Source organism: Homo sapiens, chromosome 9 (assembly GCF_000001405.40).
Source record: "Homo sapiens chromosome 9, GRCh38.p14 Primary Assembly".
NCBI classification, from domain to species: Eukaryota; Metazoa; Chordata; class Mammalia; order Primates; family Hominidae; genus Homo; species Homo sapiens.
The window spans coordinates 74869130-74888267 of record NC_000009.12 but is presented as its reverse complement, the minus strand read 5'-3'; the positions used below and the strand labels follow the sequence as shown (position 1 = coordinate 74888267).

The following is a 19138-nucleotide window of genomic DNA, read 5'->3' as shown; positions in this document are numbered from 1 at the left end:
TGTTCATTGTAACCTTGTGAGGGAACTGGATTTTTGTCCCTATTATTCCCATTGCATAGATAAATAAACTGAGGCTTGACATGCCCAATAAGTCACAGGTAGTAAAAGCAGTGCGTTAGCTTAAATCTCTGATCTCCTCACGCCCCACACTGACTCAACAGTAACAATACATTACTACAAAGGATGTCTGTGATGACAGTGGCCATCCCATTTGATCCTCGTTATTCTTCTTTTATCGAAGGAAACTGAGAGTCACCTTCTTTTCTAGGCAGTTAGGTAACTGAAGCCGAAAGGTATTGTGACAGATCCACTGGGCTGTAAAAGGCAGCGTGTGGAGGTGGAGCCCAGAGTTTCTGCCTCCACAGTTAAAAGCTCAGACAGGGCTTTGGGAGCAGGGCCTGCAAATCAAAGATGAAAGAACAACCTGTCTTGGAGCGCTTGCAGGTAAGCTCAGGCTGCTCGACTGGCGGGGAACAAGGACCTTAGGCGATTCGCTAGATCTGCGCCCCCGGCCTTAGATAGAAGTGGGTGGGGCCAGGGACACTACATCTAACGAGGATCTAGAATAGCTAGGATTTATGAAATACCGGCTTTCAAGTTCTCTGGTCTCCACCCAAAGATGATTATCCTATCTAAGGTAGTGTACGCTACTACAGGGCAGGTCCCGCAGCCCCCGTTTCAAGAGCTGGGATGCGGCCATAGCGGAGGTGGTGTCAGAGCGGAAACCTAGCGGGGGTCGGGGGTTCAGCTCGGGGCGGTGGGAAACACCCCGGGAGAGGAGGCAGCTCTGATTCCGCTCCGGGCCGGAGGGAGAGGAGTTCGGAGGTGGCTTGAGCTGAGAATCCGGAGGAGAGAAGGCGCGTTTTGAGCTGCCACGGGCACAGATCTCAGACCCGGACGCTGACTAGCCGGGGGTCGCGGCTTTCCGAGGCGGCTGGAGAAGTGCCCAGACGGCCGTCCCTCCGCGCCCCTGCGCGTCCCCGTGCGCCCAGTGTTCCCCGTGCAGGAGTCCCGGAGCGATGACAGCGCCGGTTACGGTAAACACCCGCCCCGCCGCAGTCCGCTTCCTTCCCCAACGCGGCGCCGCCCGGACTTGCAACCTCAGGAGTCCCCGCTGGCTCCTCTCCACCGCTGGCATATGGCGCAACAGGAAGTTCTGGGGGCTTGGAGAGGGAGGGTGCTCCTGGCTGTTGGGAGAGCACTGGAGACGCTTGGGAGAGTAGTGGAGATCCTGGTAATTTCTTGGTCTCGCCTATTTTGTCTGGACTTTCTCACACTGTGTATGAAAAATAAGTATAATTGAGCACATTGTATTTCAGGAATAGTCCAGGCAGCTTAGCAAACGTTAGCTCATTTCAGCCTGCTCTGATAAGAACATATGCTCTGGAGCCAGGTAGCCTGAATTAGCATCCCAGCTGCATCACTACCTGTGATTTTGGGCGAGTTAACATCTGTTCTTCGGCTTTCTCATCTGGAAAATGGGATAATACGATTTGTAGTTTCAAGATGAATTGAAATGCTACATGCCATTTGCACTTAGAATAATGCCTGACGTATTTAGCAGGTTGTAAGAGTTTGGGATTCTTAACTATTTCATCCTGGCAGTAATCCTATAAAGTCCAAGTATCCTGTCTCTCCCATCTCCACCGGTTTACAGGTGAGGAAAATGAAACCAAAGGAGAAAAGCAGATTTGAGATTTGAACTCAGGTCAGTGCTTTAAGACACGGAGAACATAAAAAAGAAAAAAAAAAAAGAGAAAAAAAGACACTGAGAACATAGATGTTCTAGTCATACACATCATTTGTGATTATTTGTTCTAGGGAGAAATGATCACCTTTAATTGTTAAAGTGGGAAACGAGTTATTCAATTTCTTTCCCCCTGTATACAGATTTTGATGTTTCACTGTCATCTGCTTTGGGTTCTTACAGGACTGATAAAGCGTTAGCTATTTTGGCCAGACTGGAATCTGGGCTTGACTTTAAGAATCTGGTTGTTTCTTATGTTTCCCACCAGGAGTGGTAACCATCTAGGGTAGGAGTTAGCATGAGTTTTGTTTTTTGGGCCAAAACTGGAGACTAGTACCCTTTGGTAGTGTTAAACTTGTCTTGATAGACAAGGGCATGAATAGCATTTGAGATCATTATACCAGAGGTGAAGGGAAAGAATCGTGCAATATGTTGCAATTTGTCACAAATTTTGGTCTTATCTTGCCTATTTACAATTATCTATCATAGTTAATTTTTTGGATAGGACATCTATGCCAAAACTATCAAGCATTTGGTAAATACTGTGCCTGAAATATGGCTTCTCTCTTTTTCCTTCTTTTTCAAATTTCTCACTTTTTATTTTATTTTATTTTTTTGAGACAGAGTCTCGCTGTGTTGCCCAGACTGGTCTTGAACTCCTGGGCTCAAGCAATCCTCTTTGGCCTCCCAAAGTGCCAAGATTACAGGCCTGAGCCACTGTGCCTGGCCTCACTGTGTTTTAAATCATGAGTTTTCAGTATAAACAGCCCAAATAATCTGAGTGATTTTCATTATACTTCTGGTAGAATCAATACCATGCTGGAACTGAAAGTGACCATCCTACCTATAACTCAGTTATTCCTTTGTGACACATCAGAAGTCTACATGGCAACTATTTTCTGTAAAATCCATCACTGTTAGGTAAGATATTATGATGTGAGTCTCACTAGTGCCTTTTTTCTTTACTTCTTAGTTTTATTGAAGTTTTACGTTCTCATTGTTCAGAATCAATTAATTCCATAGGGTTAATATCTAAAAACAGTAGAACCCTCCATCACTTCCTGCTTTTTAAGAGAAGTAATCATGTTCATCTCTTTTAACTAGTTACTATTTGTCTGTATCTCTAGATATTCCTTATAATTGCTCCTTCTTGGTTTTTGAGGTTTAGTCATCATGCATTGACTTTCCTGCAAGAAATGTGTGGATTTAACTCTTTTCTGTTTTCCTGCCACTACCACTTACATGCATCCTACCTATTCCTTCCATAGATCCTCTGAATATAGTTATCTCATAATTTTTGGTTAGGTCAATATTTAGTTAGGTCAACATTATTATGCCTCCCTACATGCTATTAAAAGCTTTCTTCCTTGTTTTTTTCCAGAGTTGTCTCTCTGTGTTTGCAAAGTTTTCACCAATTTAACCACAAGTTCTTTGTTAGTTGTCTAAATCTTCCCTCAAGATGTCCAATGCAACAGCTATTTGAATCAATTTTATTTCTATCACAGCTTTCTTACCTGCTTTGCCAGTCCAGACTGGTTGCTCTTGATGTTTGATGCACAGCTATTACCTTGGGCTCTCTCTTCACCATCATTTGGGGACTGATTCACTTTGCATCTCTGTTATGCTGGCTCCTGTTTCCTATATCCCACACCTTAGTCTTTTTTGATTTCTTCTATCATTTTGATGGAGCACATTCTCCAGTAGCTTTCTAAGAAAAGGTACATGTAAGGTAAACAGAATTGAATATGTTTTTTTCCTTGATTGTGTATCACAGAAAATAATTCTCCAGATGTTTTTCCCTTAAAAACTTTGTCACTAACAATATAAAAATAATTTCTTGTTGTAAATAATTCAAATACTACAAATAGAAATCCAAATAGAAAGTTCCCTTTCTACCCCTCAACTACTCCCCCTCTGACCCAGAGGTAATCAAACTGTTGATTTGGAGCATATTATTTAGATGTGCTTTTATATACGTATGTATGTATGTATGTATGTATGTATGTATGTATGTATATATGTATTTATTTTTGAGACAGAGTCTCGCTCTGTCTCCCAGGCTGGAGTGCAGTGGCACGATCTCAGCTCAGTGCAAGCTCCGCCTGCTGGGTTCACACCATTCTCCTGCCTCAGCCTCCCGAGTAGCTGGGACTACAGGCACCCGCCACCACGCCCGGCTCATTTTTTGTATTTTTAGTCGAGACGGGGTTTCACCTGTTATGCAGGATGGTCTTGATTTCTTGACCTCGTGATCTGCCCACCTCAGCCTCCCAGAGTGCTGGGATTATAGGTGTGAGCCACTGTGCCTGGCCATACATATGTATTTATTATTTTGATTTGTGCATTTATTTATTTATTTACTTTATTTTTTGAGATGGAGTTTTGCTCTTGTTGCCCAGGCTGGAGTGCAATGGCACAATCTTGGCTCACCACAACCTCTGCGTCCCAGGTTCAAGCGATTCTCCTGCCTCAGCCTCCCAAGTAGCTGGGATTACAGGCATGTGCCACCATGCCCAGCTAATTTTGTACTTTTAGTAGAGACAGGGTTTCTCCATGTTGGTCAGGATGGTCTCGAACTCCCGACCTCAGGTGATCCACCCACCTCGGCCTTCCAAAGTGCTGGGATTACAGGCATGAGCCACTGCACCCGATCTATTTATTTTAATTTAATTTTATTTTATTGAGATGGAATCTTACTATGTTGCCCACGCTAGTCTTGAACTCCTGAGCTCAAAGGATCCTCTTACCTCAACCTCTCAAGTATCTGGGATTACAGGCACATGACACCGTGCCTGGCTTTGCATGTGTTTTTAAATAAATTGAATCATATTGTATATATTGATCTGTAACTTGTTTCACTTAACAGTAGTTCCTGTAGATTTTTCCATGTCAATACACATTAGTGCCTTCTTGAATAGTATGTTCAGATGAACTGGAGTGATCAAGATCATAGGTATAGCATTTTCTCTTCACAATCAGTCACAAATACTGACCGAGTGTTATGTGCCAAACTGTCTTCCAGAATCTGGGAATATACAGTGAATAAAACTTTTATTTTTGAGATAGAAAGGGATAGTGAGATGCTTCTCGATGAAACTGAGCTCAGTTTCAGCTTTAATTTGGTTTTCCTTTCCTAGAGTGCAAATATACAATCACATCTCTTTTTCTCTTGGTATAAAATCACAATCATTAAAAATTGAGCTAAATACCTGTTGTGCCACCAGACCAACAGAACAATACCACTGACATAGAAATAGATTTTCTGGATGGATAAACAAAATATGGCATATATACACAAGGGAATATTATTCAGCCTTAAAATGGAGGGAAATTCTGACACATGCTACAACATGGATGAACCTTGAGGACATAATGCTAAGTAAAATAAACCAGTCACAAAAAGATAAATACTGTATGATTCCACTTATGAGGCATCTATAGAAATCAAATTCATACAAACAAAAAGTGGAATTATGGTTGGCAGGGCTAGGGGAGGGGAAATGTTTAGTTGTTTAATGGGTATAGAGTTTCAGTTTTTCGAGATGAAAAAGTTCTGGAGATTGGCCGCACAACAATGTGAATATACTTAGCAAAACTGAGCTACACACTTAAAAATGGTTAGGATGGTAAATTTTACATTATATATTTTACCACAATTAAAACAAAAATGGAAAAAGAGATTCTCACACAGACTCCTTTGTAGTGGGCTTTGTCTTATACTTTGAATAGGTGGTTGAATCTGCTTTCAGCTGGATGAATACTCAGTAGTGGGAATGCAGGATTGAATGGTAATTCCATTTTTAGTTTTTGGAGGAACCTCCATTACTGTTTTCCATAACGGCTGTACTAAATTACATTCCTATCAACAGTGTATGAGGGTCTCCTTTCTCTGCATCCTTGCCAGTATTTGTTAATTTTTGTCTTCTTTATGATAACCATTTTAACTGGAGCGAGATGATATCTCATTGTGGTTTTGATTTGCATTTTACTGCTGATTAGTGATGTTGAGCATATTTTCATATGCATGTTGGCTGTTTGTATGTATTCGTTTGAGAAACGTTGATTCATGTCCTTTGCCCACTCTTCAGTGGGCTTATTTGTTTTGTGTTTACTGTTGAGTTGTTTGAGTTCTTTTAATATTCTGGATATTAGTCCCCTGTCAAATAAATAGTTTGCAGATATTTTCTCCAACTCAACAGATTGTCTCTTCATTTTGTTGATTGTTTCCTTCACTGTGCAGAAACTTTTTAGTTTAACATGGTCTCATTTGTGTATTTTTGTTTCTCTTTTTTCTTTTTAACCAACCAAGAAGCACTGAATCAGTTGTGTACTTTTGTTTTTGTTGTCTGTGCTTATGAGGTCTTAGCTGCAAAATCTTTGCTTAGATCAATGTCCTGAAGTGTTTCCGTTATATTTTCTTCTAGTATCTTTATAGTTGAAGTCTTGCATTTATGTCTTTAATGCATCTTGAGTTGATTTTTGTATATGGTGAGAGATAGGAGTTCAGTTTCATTCTGCTGCATATAAATATCCAGTTTTCCCAGCATGATTTATTGAAGATGATGTCCTGTAACCAATGTATGTTCTTGATGCCTTTGTCAAAATTCAGTTAGCTGTAAAAATGTGGAATTACTTCTGTGTTCTCTATTTTGTTCAATGGTCTATGTGTCTTTTTATACCAATAGCATGCTGTTTTGGTTACTATAGCTATAAGAATACTTTTGTACAGTTTCCAAAGTTCCTCTTATTATTGATTTCTAGTTTTACTTTATCTTGTGGTCTGAGAAGATACATGATATGATTTTGATTTTTAAAAATTAGTTGAGATGTGTTTTGTGTTTTACCATATAGTCTATTCTGGAGAATGTTCCACATGCTGATAAAAATGTGTATTCTGGAACTGTTGGATGAGATGTTCTGTCAATATTTATTAGGTCCATTTGGTCTAAAGTACAATTTAAATATTATTTTAATTTTCTGTTTAGATAATCTGTGTAATGCTGAGAGTGGGGTGTTGAAGTCCCCAACCGTTACTGTATTGGAGTCTATTTGTTCTGTTTGATCGAATAATATTTGCTTTATATATTGGGGTGCATGCTTTGTTAGGTGCATATATGTTTAGAATTGTTATACTTTCTTGCTGAATTGATTGCCTTATATAATTATAATTATATAATTACATTTTTTGTCTCTTTTAACTTTTTTTTTACTTAAAGTTTGTTTCATCTGATATAAGTATAGTTATTTATGCTTGCGTTTGGTTTCTGTTTGCGTGGAATATCTTTTTCCATTCCTTTACTTTCAGTCTATATCTGTCTTTATAGGTGAGATGAGTTTCTTACAGGTAGCATATAGTTGGGTCTTTTTTTTCAATTAAAAAAATTTTTTTGTAGAGATGGGATCTCGCTACGTTGACCAGGCTGGTCTTGAACTCCTGGCCTCAAGTGATCCTCCCATTTGGGCCTCCCAAAGTGCTAGGATTACAGGTGCAAGCTACCACGCCCAGCCAGGGTCATTGTTTTTTTCCAATCCATTCAGCCAATCTATATGTGTTAAGTAGAAAATTTAATCCATTTAGTTTCACGGTTATTATTGATCTGGGAGCACTTATTCTTGCCATTTTATTAATTGATGTCTCGTTGTTTTGTATATCCTTGGTTCTTTTCTTTCTCTCTTATTGTTTATCATTGTGGTTTGGTGGTATTCTGTAGTGGTAACATTTAAGCACTTTTACTTCCTTATTTGTGTGTTTGTCCTATTAGTGGGTTTTATACTTTCGTGTATTTTCATGATGGTAGATACTGTCTTTTTGCTTCTATGTGCAGGACTTGCTGAAACATTTCTTATAGGACTGGTTTAATGGTGATGAATTTCTTCAGCTTTTGCTTATCTGGGAAAGACTTCACTTCTCATTTATTTATGAAGGATAACATTGCTAGGAATAGTATCCTTGGATGGCAGTGCTTTTTTTTTCGGTATTTTGAATATATCATTGCATTCTCTCCTGGCTTGTAAAGTTTCTATTGAGAAATTTGCTGTTAGTCTGATGGAGGTTCCTGTATAAATCACTGGACATTTTTCTTTTGCTGTTTTTAGAATTTAGAATTCTTTCAGTTTGACTATAATGTGCTCTGGAAAAGATCTTTTTGAATTGTATCTTTCTGGCAATCTCTGAGCTTCCTGTTTCCGGACGTCTACATCTCTTGCTAGACCTGGGAGGTTTTCAGTTATTATTTCATTAAATAGGTTTTCTGTTCCTTTTGTTTTCTCTTCACCTTCCAGAGCACCAAAATTTTGAATATTTGGCTTCTTTATGGTGCCTCATATGTCACATAGACTTTATTCTTTAGATTATTTTTTCTTTATTTTTGTCTGTGTCAGGAAAAATCCTCATTTCTCCTCTACTTTTACACCACAACAATCAGCACAGAGGACTCCTGTGACAAATATGTGTGTGGGAGTTTTCCCATCACATCAAGCAGCGGATGCCAGGTAGGTGTCTTCCAATTCAGTTCTGACACTATCTACCTGAAGATAGTGCCAGATCACACAAGTTGGGGACTCATTCCCCAAGACTACATCTGCCTCCTTCAGATGGAACTTCTAACTGACTGGCTTCAAGTTGGGGTTCCCATGACCTCCTCTTTGGATTTCATTAATTTTGCTGGGGCGGCTCACAGAACTTAGGGAAACACATTTGCTGGTTAATTATAAAGGATACTACAAAGGATATAGATGAAGAGATGCACAGGGCTAGGTATGGGGGAAGGGTTGCACAGCTTCCATGCCTCCCTGGGCATATCACCCTTCAGGAACCTCTATGTGTTCAGCTATCCAGGAACTCACCAAACCTGGTCCTCTTGGATTTTTATGGAAGCTTCATGATGTCAAAATTTCTTCTCCCAGGGTATAGGGTGGGACCCTCTCTGGGAAGGGACTTAAGGCCCACAATCAGAAAGGAGCAGAAAGATTAGAATCCTGCATTGGGCCAGGTATAAGAAAGGCAGGAGACAAATTCTGTTTCCTCAGAACTTCCCCTGAGGCCTAACACACCTGACATTATAACAAAAGACTCAAAGAAAGGATATGGGAGTTATTAACAAGGAACCATGGGTAAAACCCTATATATATCCATGGTTCCTTTATATATATAAAATGGTTCCTTGTTATATATATATGTATATATGTATATAAATCATATATATATAAATCATATACAAATATATGTATTTAAATCATTACACCACATTGACTGGGTTATTTCATCACACTTGTTTTCAGGTGCTCATATTCTTTCTGCTTGATTGAGTCTATTGTTGAAGCTTTCTAATATATTTTGTATTTCATTCAGAGAATTCTTTAATTCTAGAATTTCTTTTGGTTCTTTTTTAATGATATTTATGTCTTTTGTCAATTTTTCATTTGTATCCTGAATTTTCTGATTTCTTTGTATTGTATTTTCAAGTTCTCTTGTATCTCACTGAGCTTTTTAAATAAAACTTTTTTAAAATTAAAAAGAAATTTTTTTTGAGATGAGGTTTCACTCTGTTGCCAAGGCTGGATTCCAGTGGTACAATCATAGCTCAATGGCAGATTGAACTCCTGAACTCCTGAGGTTGAGTGGTCCTCCTGCATCAGCTTCTCAAGTAACTAAGATTACAGGAATGAGCCACCACACCTGGCTGAGCTTCTTTAATGTCATTAGTTTGATTTCTTTTTCCTGGGTTTTATGAATTTCTTCATTGAAATCTATTGCTGGAGAATTATTATGTTCCTTTGGAGGTATCATATTTCCTTGCTTTTTCATGTTTCTCGTGTCCTTACATTGATATCTGTGCATGTGGCATAACCATTGCTTCTTCCAATCTTTTGAATTTGCTTGCACGGGGGGGATTGTATTCTGAAGACGTTTATGTGGCGGTGTTTAGGTAGGGCACTTTGGCTTTGATTCTGGGTGTGTGCAGTAGTATAGTCTCGTTATGATTTCTTCAGCTATAAACAGTGTCAGTAGTGTCTGAGATTTGCTCAGTGGCTTCAGGTGTGATTGTTAGTGGAGGCTTTGGTGAGGTTTTGCTGGGGATGGGGACATAAGATGGGCCAGTCCTTGGGCCCTAGTGGTGATAGCAGTGAGCTGAATGTGCCAGTCTTTGGGCCCTTGGGTGGCATATGCTGACACTGGTGTTAGTAGGGCCAGGTGAGCTGATTCTTGGGCCTGCAGGTGACTTTCTTGGGTGCTGTCAGTGGCAATGGTGGGAAGGGCAGGCAGGTGTGTCCTTGAGCCCCTGGACAGTGGGTGTGGTGTGAATGATGACAGTAGCAGTGGTGAGACAATCCTCTGGTTCCCAAGTGATCCATGCTGGTGTTGAAATTGACTGTGATGGACTAGGTGGGTCAGTCCCCAGGCCTGCAGGTGGTGTGCGTGTGGGTGCCAGCTGTGGTGTTGGTGGCAGGTTGGGTGAGCCCATTCTCAGGTTTCTGGGAGGAGAGCTCAGGTGCCAACTGTGGTGGGTGGGGCAGGTGATCCCTAGGCCCCTGGATGGTGTGCTCCAGCACTGGGTGGGATGGAGTTGGACAGGGTGGGCTTCTCCTCAGGCCCCTCATGGTGCATGTAGCCACTGGCTGTGGTAGGAGGGGTGAGGTGATCCCCAGGCCCCTGGTGGAATGCCTGAGTTGGAGTGGCAGCGGCTGCATTGTGGCCCTGCTGCTGGGGAGGGCAGAGTTGTTTCAGTGGCAGAAGCTGTAAACAGGCAGCAGGGGAAAGCTAGCTTGGCTCCAGCTGGTGGCTTTAAATGAGGCTGCCTTTCCTCAGGGCATTTTTAAATGTGTGGTGACCCCAATATGGAGCATGGTGGGGTCACTGCCAATGGCTCATGGTTTGGCCCTGTAGGCAGCAGCAAACAGTGGAGGTGGGCTGTGGGCAGGGGATATCAATGGGACTCCAGGGATATGGAGATGTGGGGCTGTTGGGTCCCAGGATAGGATGCAGTCTGGTGGTGGCTGGACTCTAAAAATGGCACCTTGCTGTAGCTGCTTAGAATTCATAGTGTGCGTGGAACTCAGTGTGAGCTCCCTCCCTGGAGCAATGCCATCACATGGTCTCCAGGCAGCTCCCTGTTAGTCTCAGGGCCCACTGGAGTCCAGGTGCTTTTTTCCTGTGGCTGCATTGTATATTATTTGTCCATTAATCAGTTGATGGATATTTGTGTTGTTTCTACTTTTTGACAATTATGAATTATGCTGGTATGAACATTTGTATACAAGTTTTTGTATAGACATGTGTTTTCATTTCTTTTGGGGCGATACCTAGGAGTGGAATTTCTGGGTCATATGATAACTCTTGTGTTTGTCCTTTTGAGGAAGTGCCAGAATTTGTTTCAAAGCAACTGTATTATTTTACATAATCACCAGCAATCCATGATAATTCCAGTTTCTCCCTATTTTTTGTATTGTCTGACTTTTTGATTATAGCCATCCTAGCGGGTATGAAGACTGCATGGTTTTGCATTTCCCTTATGACTAATGATTTTGAGCATCTTTTCATGGGTTTATTCGACATTTGTTCTTTGGAGAACTATTTAGATCCTTTGTGTGGCACTTATTTTTGATCCAGTGCTTCAGATTTTCTTCCGGAAAATGTGCACATCCACACAAAAGTTAGTATACAGTTTCTAAGGGTTCATGACCCTCCCAGTATCTGTAAAGGCCTGAGGCTTCTCACATGCTATGTGGCAGATGTTTTTCAGGGCGTTTTATATAGTTAGTCTCACCCATAATTATTATGTACCAGATTTGTGTGATGATCAGATATTCAGGAAAGTGACTGGCCAGCCCTAAAACACTATAGTGCTTCAGGGATTGGTATAAGCACAAGTGTTGTGGGTAAGCGATAGTAAAGTGAAGTTGCTAAGGGAATGAACTCAAGTCAGACTGCCTGTATATGAATCCTAGTGTCACTTTTATGAGCTGTTGTGTTCCTTAGGGAAATTACTCAGCCTCTCTAAGATTCAGTATCCTCTTTCATAAAATGAGTTTAATAACTGCACCCAGGTACTCTTGAGCAATTTAAGTGAGTTAATAAACAAAATGTTTTGCATTGTCCAGGTGGGCACACAGAAAGTGCTGAATAAATTGTTACCCTGGCTGGGTGCGGTGGCTCACACCTGTAATCCCAGCACTTGGGAGGCTGAGGTGGGTGGATCACGTGAGGTCAGGAGTTTGAGACCAGCCTGACCAGCATGATGAAACCCCGTCTCTACTAAAAATATGAAATTTGACCAGGCATGGTGGCGCATGCCTGTAATTCCAACTACTTGGGAAGCTGAGGCAAGAGAATTGCTTGAACCTGAGAGGTGGAGGTTGCAGTGAGCTGTGATCATGCCATTGCATTCCAGCCTGGGCGACAAGAGCGAAAATCCATCTCCAAAAATAAGTAAATAAATAAATTGTTACCCTGCAGTTAATATTATATGACAGACCAGGTTGACCTTTGAATATGAAAACATCTTTCTTTTCTTGGGGAATGTAGATATCTTCTATTGATCTTTGAAAGGGCCAAGAAGTTTCTGCAAATTGAATCTTGTAATCTTCTCAGGAAAGAGAATTATCTTCTTAGATAAGCTTAAGTTTACAGGGTACTTTACAGATCCTTGGCCTGTTTAAGTTAATCCTTTCTAACCTTTGTCACCACTGTTAGTGTCTGCTTTAGAGGGATTTTAAAACAAAAGAAAACGTATTTTAGCCTTTGTCCTTATCTGGCCCAGAGAAACAACCTTCCAAATAGGCAGTTTTTGCTCTTTCACCCCAAGGTCAAGCAAGTAGAGAGAATGGGGTCCAAAGTCCTCAAATTTTAAAATCTTTCTAAAATTAACTATCATTTTTAGGACAGCCTTAAGAAAGGCAAACTAGGAGGGAATAATGAATTGACATAAGGCTTTATAGACTGCATCTTTATTATTATTATTATTATTTTTAATTTTTTGAGGTAGAGTCAAGCTCTGTCGCCCAGGCTGGAGTGCAGTGGCACGATCTTGGCTCACTGCAACCTCCACTTCCCAGGTTTGAGCAATTCTCCTGCCTCAGCCTCCTGAGTAGTTGTAACTATAGGCGTGCGCCACCACGTCTGGCTAATTTTTGTATTTTTAGTAGAGACAGGGTTTTACCTTGTTGGCCAGGCTGGTCTCGAACTCCTGACCTGAGGTGATCCACCCACCTCGGTCTCCCAAACTGCTGGGATTACAGGCGTGAGTCACCACACCCAGCCCTCCTTCAAGTTTAATGGAAGGGAAGAGTTGCTGTAAGGTGCAGGCCAACATCTCTGAATTCCAGTGTTTTATCAGTTTTGTTGTCTGACCTGCAGATGATGATGGTGGTTTTAAAAATTATTTACTTATTTAGTGGCCTGGGTTTGCAACTGGAAGAGGCTAAGATAAAATATTCCTTCTTATAATACAATTACAGGCCAGGCATGGTGGCTTATGCCTGTAATCCCAGCATTTTGGGAGGCTGAGGTGGGCAGATCACCTGAGGTCAGGAGTTTGAGACCAGCCTGGCCAATATGGCGAAACTTGTCTCTACTAAAAGTAGCAAAAAAAAAAAAAATTAGCTGGGCATGGTGGTGCATGCCTGTAATCCCAGCTACTGTGGAGGCTGAGGCAGGAGAATCACTTGAACTCGGGAGGTGGAGGTTGCAGTGAGCTAAGATTGCACCACTACACTCTGGCCTGGGTGACACAGTGAGACATTGTCTCAAAAAAAAAAAAAATACAATTACAAAATGTTATGAGCATTTGAGTGACACATTCTTAAAAAAAAAGAAAAAGAAAAACTGCTTTGCTTTTGTTTAATCCCTCTTTTATGATTGCCTTTTTGGGTCATTTCAAAGTCTCTTTCTATGGATAAAATATATTTCTTCTCACTTTACAATATCAGAAGAAATTAAATACTGAAGAAGCATCTTCAGCATCAAAACCCAGTGAAAATGGAAACCTGTTCTGGAGTTGCGGTCCTCAGTGACTTAAAGAAAGGCATTATATGGGTAACTGTGCTCTCCTTTCCTTCCTGAATTGCACTGAAAGTACAGGCAGTCTCTAAACAACAACGCTGGAACTTTTAATATCATGTGTTCCAGCAAGAAAGAGAAGTTGGGAAATTTCAGCCTAGCAGATGATAGTGTCCTATCTGTCAACCTCTGTTAACTCATAAGATTCTTGGTATCCCACTGACAGACTTCTGAGTCTCAATTTCCTGGACAACTCTAATTCTTGTTTTTTTTTTTTTTTTGTTTTTAAGACAGATTCTCACTCTGTCACCCAGGCTGGAGTGCAGTGGCACAATCTCAGCTAATGGCAATCTCTGCCTCCTAGGTTCAAGTGATTCTTCTCACTCTGCCTTCTGAGTAGCTGGAATTACAGGCATGTACCACCATGCCCGGCTAATTTTTGTATTTTTAGTAGAGGCAGGGTTTCTCCATGTTGTCCAGGCTGGTCTTGAACCCCTGACCTCAGGTGATCTGCCTGCCTCAGCCTCCCAACGTGCTAGCATTACAGTTGTGAGCCACCATGCCCAGCCTGGACTGCCCTAATTCTATTAAAACATCTTTTTCCTCCTAAAAATTTTAGGGGAATCAGTTATTTTGAATGTGAGGGTTTTTTTTTTCTGAATAAAAAACTTGTCTGTACCCTACCCTAAATCTTTAAGTTACAATAAAAGTCTCAAAGATTTTTAAGATCTTTTAAATTAAAAGATTTTTTTCTGTTAAAAAGTTAAAAATTCTAAATGTTAAGATAAAAAATCTTTATAATTTAAGATGAGTCCCTCAAAGATTAAAATAAGAATCTTAAGGTAAATGATTTAGGGGAGGGGATATTCTTAATTGATAATTGTTGGAAATCTCTTAGAAAAGAGTCTCCCGAAATTGCATCCTGTGGAAACAAGTCTGTAATATCCTCAGAGAAAATCCTTGATCAAATATATTTTGGGAAACAGACAGTGTTTCCCTTCTGGACAATCATAATTCTCGTATGTGCTTATACAGCCACAAAACATTTTCCTTTCCAATTTTAGTATATGTGCTGCCCAGGAAAGCACATTTTGTTTTTCTTCCATGAAATACAGTATCTTCTTCAGGCTGTACTTCAGACAGTTCCCTGTCTTTGGAGACATAGAGTACAGTGGGTCTAACTAGGTCATGATAGTACAGTGCAGGGGATAAGCACAGAAGGCTCAGGCTGAGAGAGCATGGGGAAGGAGGTCCTCATTCAGACTTGAGAGTTTCCAGAAGTTTTCTAGGAGGCATGATGTCTAAGTTGGCGGAGAAAGGAAGGGAGTGGAGAGTATTCTAGGTGGAGAGAACAGTGTGTAGAGAATACCTGTAGGTGAATTCAGACAGTTCAAAATGGCTCAGTATATTTAGAATGTAGAGATGGAGGCAGGGAGGGGCAAGAGATCAGGTAGGAGCTGGAGCACCCAAGATGTGGCAGGCAATGCTCTGTAAAGCGTGTGAAGAACTTTACAACTTTATCTTGAGAATAATGACGAGCCCTTGGAAGGTTTTATGTGATAATGACTTGTTCACTTTATTTATTTTAAAAGATTATAAGCTTTATTATAGAGAATGGATTGAAGAGAAAATTAGAGGTAGAAAGGCCTGGGAGGCAATGTAGGCAAAAGTTTATGGTGACTTTAACTAGGGCAGTGGCAATATAGATGCAGAGAGGTAGGCAGATACAAGAGATGTTTAAGAGATAGAATCAGGTTCCGCGCAGTGGCTCACGCCTGTAATTCCAGCACTTTGAGAGGCTGAGGCTGGCAGATCACTTGAGGTCAGGAGTTTGAAATCAGCCTGGCCAAGACAGGGAAACCCTGTCTCTACAAAACATGTACACACGTGCGCGCATGCACACACACACACACACACACACAAAATTTGCTGGGCGCGGTGGTGTGCACCTGTGGTCCCAGCTACTTGGGAGGATAAGGCAGGAGAATTGCTTGAGCATTGCGAGGCGGAGGTTGCAGTAAGCCAAGATTGTGCCACTGCACTCCAGCTTGGGCACAGGAATGAGAAACCCTGTCTCAAAAAGAGCTCACAGGCATGGCAGCTCATGCCTGCAACCCCAGCTACTTGGGAGGCTGCAGTGGGAGGATTGCTTGAGGCCAGGGGTTTGAGACCAGCCTGGCCAACAAAGCAAGATCCCATCTCAGTGTATTCCTTAATGCTTAAAAATTGCTACTGTTGGCTGAGTGTGGTGGCTCATGCCTGTAATTCCAGCACTTTGGGAGGACAAGGCAGGATGATTGCTTGAGGCCAGGAGTTCAAGGCTACCCTGGCCAACATAACAAGACCCTGTCACTATTTTTAAAAAGTTGCAGCCAGGCATGGTGGCTGACACCTGTAATCCTAGCACTTTAGGAGGCCGGGGCAGGTGGATCACTTGAGGTCAGGAGTTTGAGACCAGCCTGGCCAACATAGTGAAACTCTGTCTCTACTAAAAATACAAAAATTAGCTGGGCATGGTGGCACACACCAGTAATCCCAGCTACTCAGGAGGCTGAGGCAGGAGAATTGCTGGAACCCAGGAGGCAGAGGTTGCAGTGAGCCGAGATTGTGCCACTTCACTCCAGTCTGGGCAAAAGAGCAAAACTCTGTCTCAAAAAAAAAAAAAAAAGTTACTACTGAGTTGGGTATGGTCGCACATGCTTGTAATCCTAGATACTCGGGAGGTGAGGGTGGGAGGACTGCTTGAGCCCAAGAGTTCAAGGCCAACCTGGGCAATATAGTGAGACCCCCTCTCAAAAAAAAAGTTGCTCGTAAGTCATCTATTGTGCTTATAAATTGGTACCTCTCTATGGAGGGGAATGTGGAAATCTGAGTTGACTTAGAAATTTTACTTGCAGGTGTATATTCTGAAGATCTACATGAACATGAAAGCTATGCTGTATGTATGTTGTGTAAGATGAAAAATAACATATATATACATGACCAGGTGCTTAGCTAAGTCAATTATGGGACTTCCATATTAGGGAATACTGGTCAGCCTCATAAAATGAAGCAATTCTATATATAAGGTTATTACATATCATTATTAATCAGAAAAAAAACAAGGTGCAGAACAGCATGTATAATTTGCCTATATCTATGTAAGAATTTTTTGGGGGATATACCTGTAAACACATTGACTATCTTTAGAGGAATGCACAACAAACTGTAATAGAGGTTAACTTTTGAGAGGGAAACTGGATGGCTGGGGAACAGGGGTGGGAGGGAAATTTAACTTTTCCCTGTATCACCTGATGTACTTCCCGGATTTTATACCATTTGCAATATTATCTATTAGAAAAAAATTGCCAGGAGCTGGTTTAGCATATCCCATGGATGATACAGTGAGGACTTAGATAAGAACTAAGTGCAGCTTTGTCACAGTTATAACATTGTAACTATCTGTTTTGGTTGTTTTTTGCTATGTGGCAATTTAGGCACACAGTTATAGAGGGTTTACTTGAAGCTATTGTAATTATTATTATTTTTTAAAAATAGAAGTGGAATGCCTATTTCTTTTCTTTTCTTTTTCTTTTCTTTTCTTTTTTTTTGAGACGGAGTATCTCTCTGTCACCTAGGCTGGAGTGCCGTGGCACTATCTTGGCTCACTGCAACCTCCCAAATTCAAGCCTCCCGAATTCAAGCAAGTCTCCTGCCTCAGCCTCCTGAGTAGCTGGGATTACAGGCACACACCACCACACCCAGCTAATTTTTGTATTTTTAGTAGAGATGGGGTTTCACCATGTTGGCCAGGCTTGTCTTGAACTCCTGACCTCAGGTGATCCACCCACCTCGGCCTCCCAAAGTGCAGGGATTACAGGCGTGAGCCACTGCGCCCAGCCCGTGGAGTGCCTATTTCTAAGTGCAGCTAAAGGAATGTTCATGAAACTTTATAGCTGGACAGCTGGAAATTAACAATTCCTGGGGTCACTCACCCAGGGAGAACAAGATTTCTCTAGTTTGCTGGTAGAGATTACCTACAGGCTACAGAAGAAAACAGTGTTATCTTGTTTTTCCTCCCTTTCTTTTTTCCTTTCATTATAGCTTGACATGATTTATTGAATGCCCATGATCCCCAGTTACATTTACTCTTATCCTTTATCCCAAACTCCTATTCCCTTAGTGTAGATGTCTGCAGACCCACGTATTCAAAGGTACATGTTTTTAGGTTATTAGCTTATTAGGGAAATTCCTGCAATGCTGTGTTTCAGGAATATTATATTCCCCATGGGGCATCCAATGAGATACTGTAGGTGTATCCTAGGTATTTAATTGAATTCATTATTTTTTCAACTATTTTAAATTTAGCAGATACTTTGGTGAGAGAGGATTTCATATGCTTTGTGATCCGTAGAACCTACTTTGGGAAATGTCCTATACTGTGCTGCTATACTGGGAAGTGTGGGTAATAAAAAGGGGGTCTGTGAATGCACATGGGTGTTTCCTACCATCCTTTCTCTCTGGGTAAGAGGGGCAAAAATAAATGCTGAAGTTGGCAACCTCCAGAGCTAAACAGGCTATCAGTTTCTATAGAACATGGATAATAAGGTCTTGGGCAAATTTACCAAGAAGGAAAATTTGTCATTCTTTCTGATATCTATCAGAGATATAAGATTACTTCAAGGCAGAGCCTTCCTCTTCAGCTGTCCATACCATTTCCTTCCTTCCTTCCCTCCCCACCGCTCTCCGAGATCTCTACAGTCATTTCCATTCGCTCATTGCATCTTCATTCTCTCTCTTTTTGTTGACTTCTCCCTTAGTCTACAAAGTCCTGTTTTCTCAACATAAAATAAACTGTGCCTATAAAATGTCATGTAAAAGATCTCTGGCACTAGCATTAGAACCTGCTCCTTCTCGGTGAAGAGGGAATAAATAGTACTGTGATGAGCCACAGAATTGTGAATATTGCTTTAGCTAAAGCACCTAAGACATTTAGCCCTCCCAGCCTTTGGCAGATACGACAGACTACTTTAGTGTTGGCTTTTGCTTTATATCGTCCATTTATGACAGTTTCTTTTTTTTTTTTTTTTGAGATGGAGTCTCGCTCTGTTGCCCAGGCTGGAGTGCAGTGGCGTTACCTCCGCCTCCTGGGTTCAAGTGATTCTCCTGCCTCAGCTTCCCGAGTAGCTGGGACTACAGGTGCGTGCCACCATGCCTGGCTAATTTTTTGTATTTTTAGTAGTGACGGGGTTTCACCATGTTAGTCAGGATGGTCTCGATCTCCTGACCTTGTGATCTGCCTGCCTCGGCCTCCCAAAGTGCTGGGATTACAGGCCGGCCCTGACTGTTGTTTTTAGTATTGCTTCTCCCAAGAGAATCTTACACTAACTACCTATCTCCTCTGTTTTACAACC

General features: G+C 41.3%; 1 protein-coding gene across 3 annotated transcripts in view, besides 2 other annotated features; it reads left to right on the top strand.

Moving 5' to 3' along the window:
• Positions 347–19138, top strand: part of TRPM6 (transient receptor potential cation channel subfamily M member 6) — a 165427-nt gene continuing 146635 nt past the window's right edge. The window contains exon 1 of one of the 3 annotated variants that reach the window (NM_017662.5): positions 347–444. In NM_017662.5, the coding sequence (NP_060132.3) occupies positions 412–444 (33 nt within the window). In that variant the 5' untranslated portion in view covers positions 347–411. Of the gene's footprint in view, positions 445–547; positions 638–920; positions 1038–19138 lie in introns of those variants that run through there. The other 2 variants (NM_001177310.2, NM_001177311.2) reach the window with 2 other exon arrangements.
• Positions 961–1255: an enhancer, noted in NCBI's record as "tiled region #214; HepG2 Activating DNase unmatched - State 4:PromP". NCBI's record gives its function as "activates a minimal TATA promoter and a strong SV40 promoter by Sharpr-MPRA in HepG2 cells {active_cell/tissue: HepG2}" and the evidence as "EXISTENCE:reporter gene assay evidence [ECO:0000049][PMID:27701403]".
• Positions 12186–12687: an enhancer, noted in NCBI's record as "NANOG hESC enhancer chr9:77490497-77490998 (GRCh37/hg19 assembly coordinates)". NCBI's record gives its function as "activates a minimal SCP1, AML or CMV promoter by ChIP-STARR-seq in primed H9 embryonic stem cells {active_cell/tissue: H9 hESC(primed)}" and the evidence as "EXISTENCE:reporter gene assay evidence [ECO:0000049][PMID:30033119]".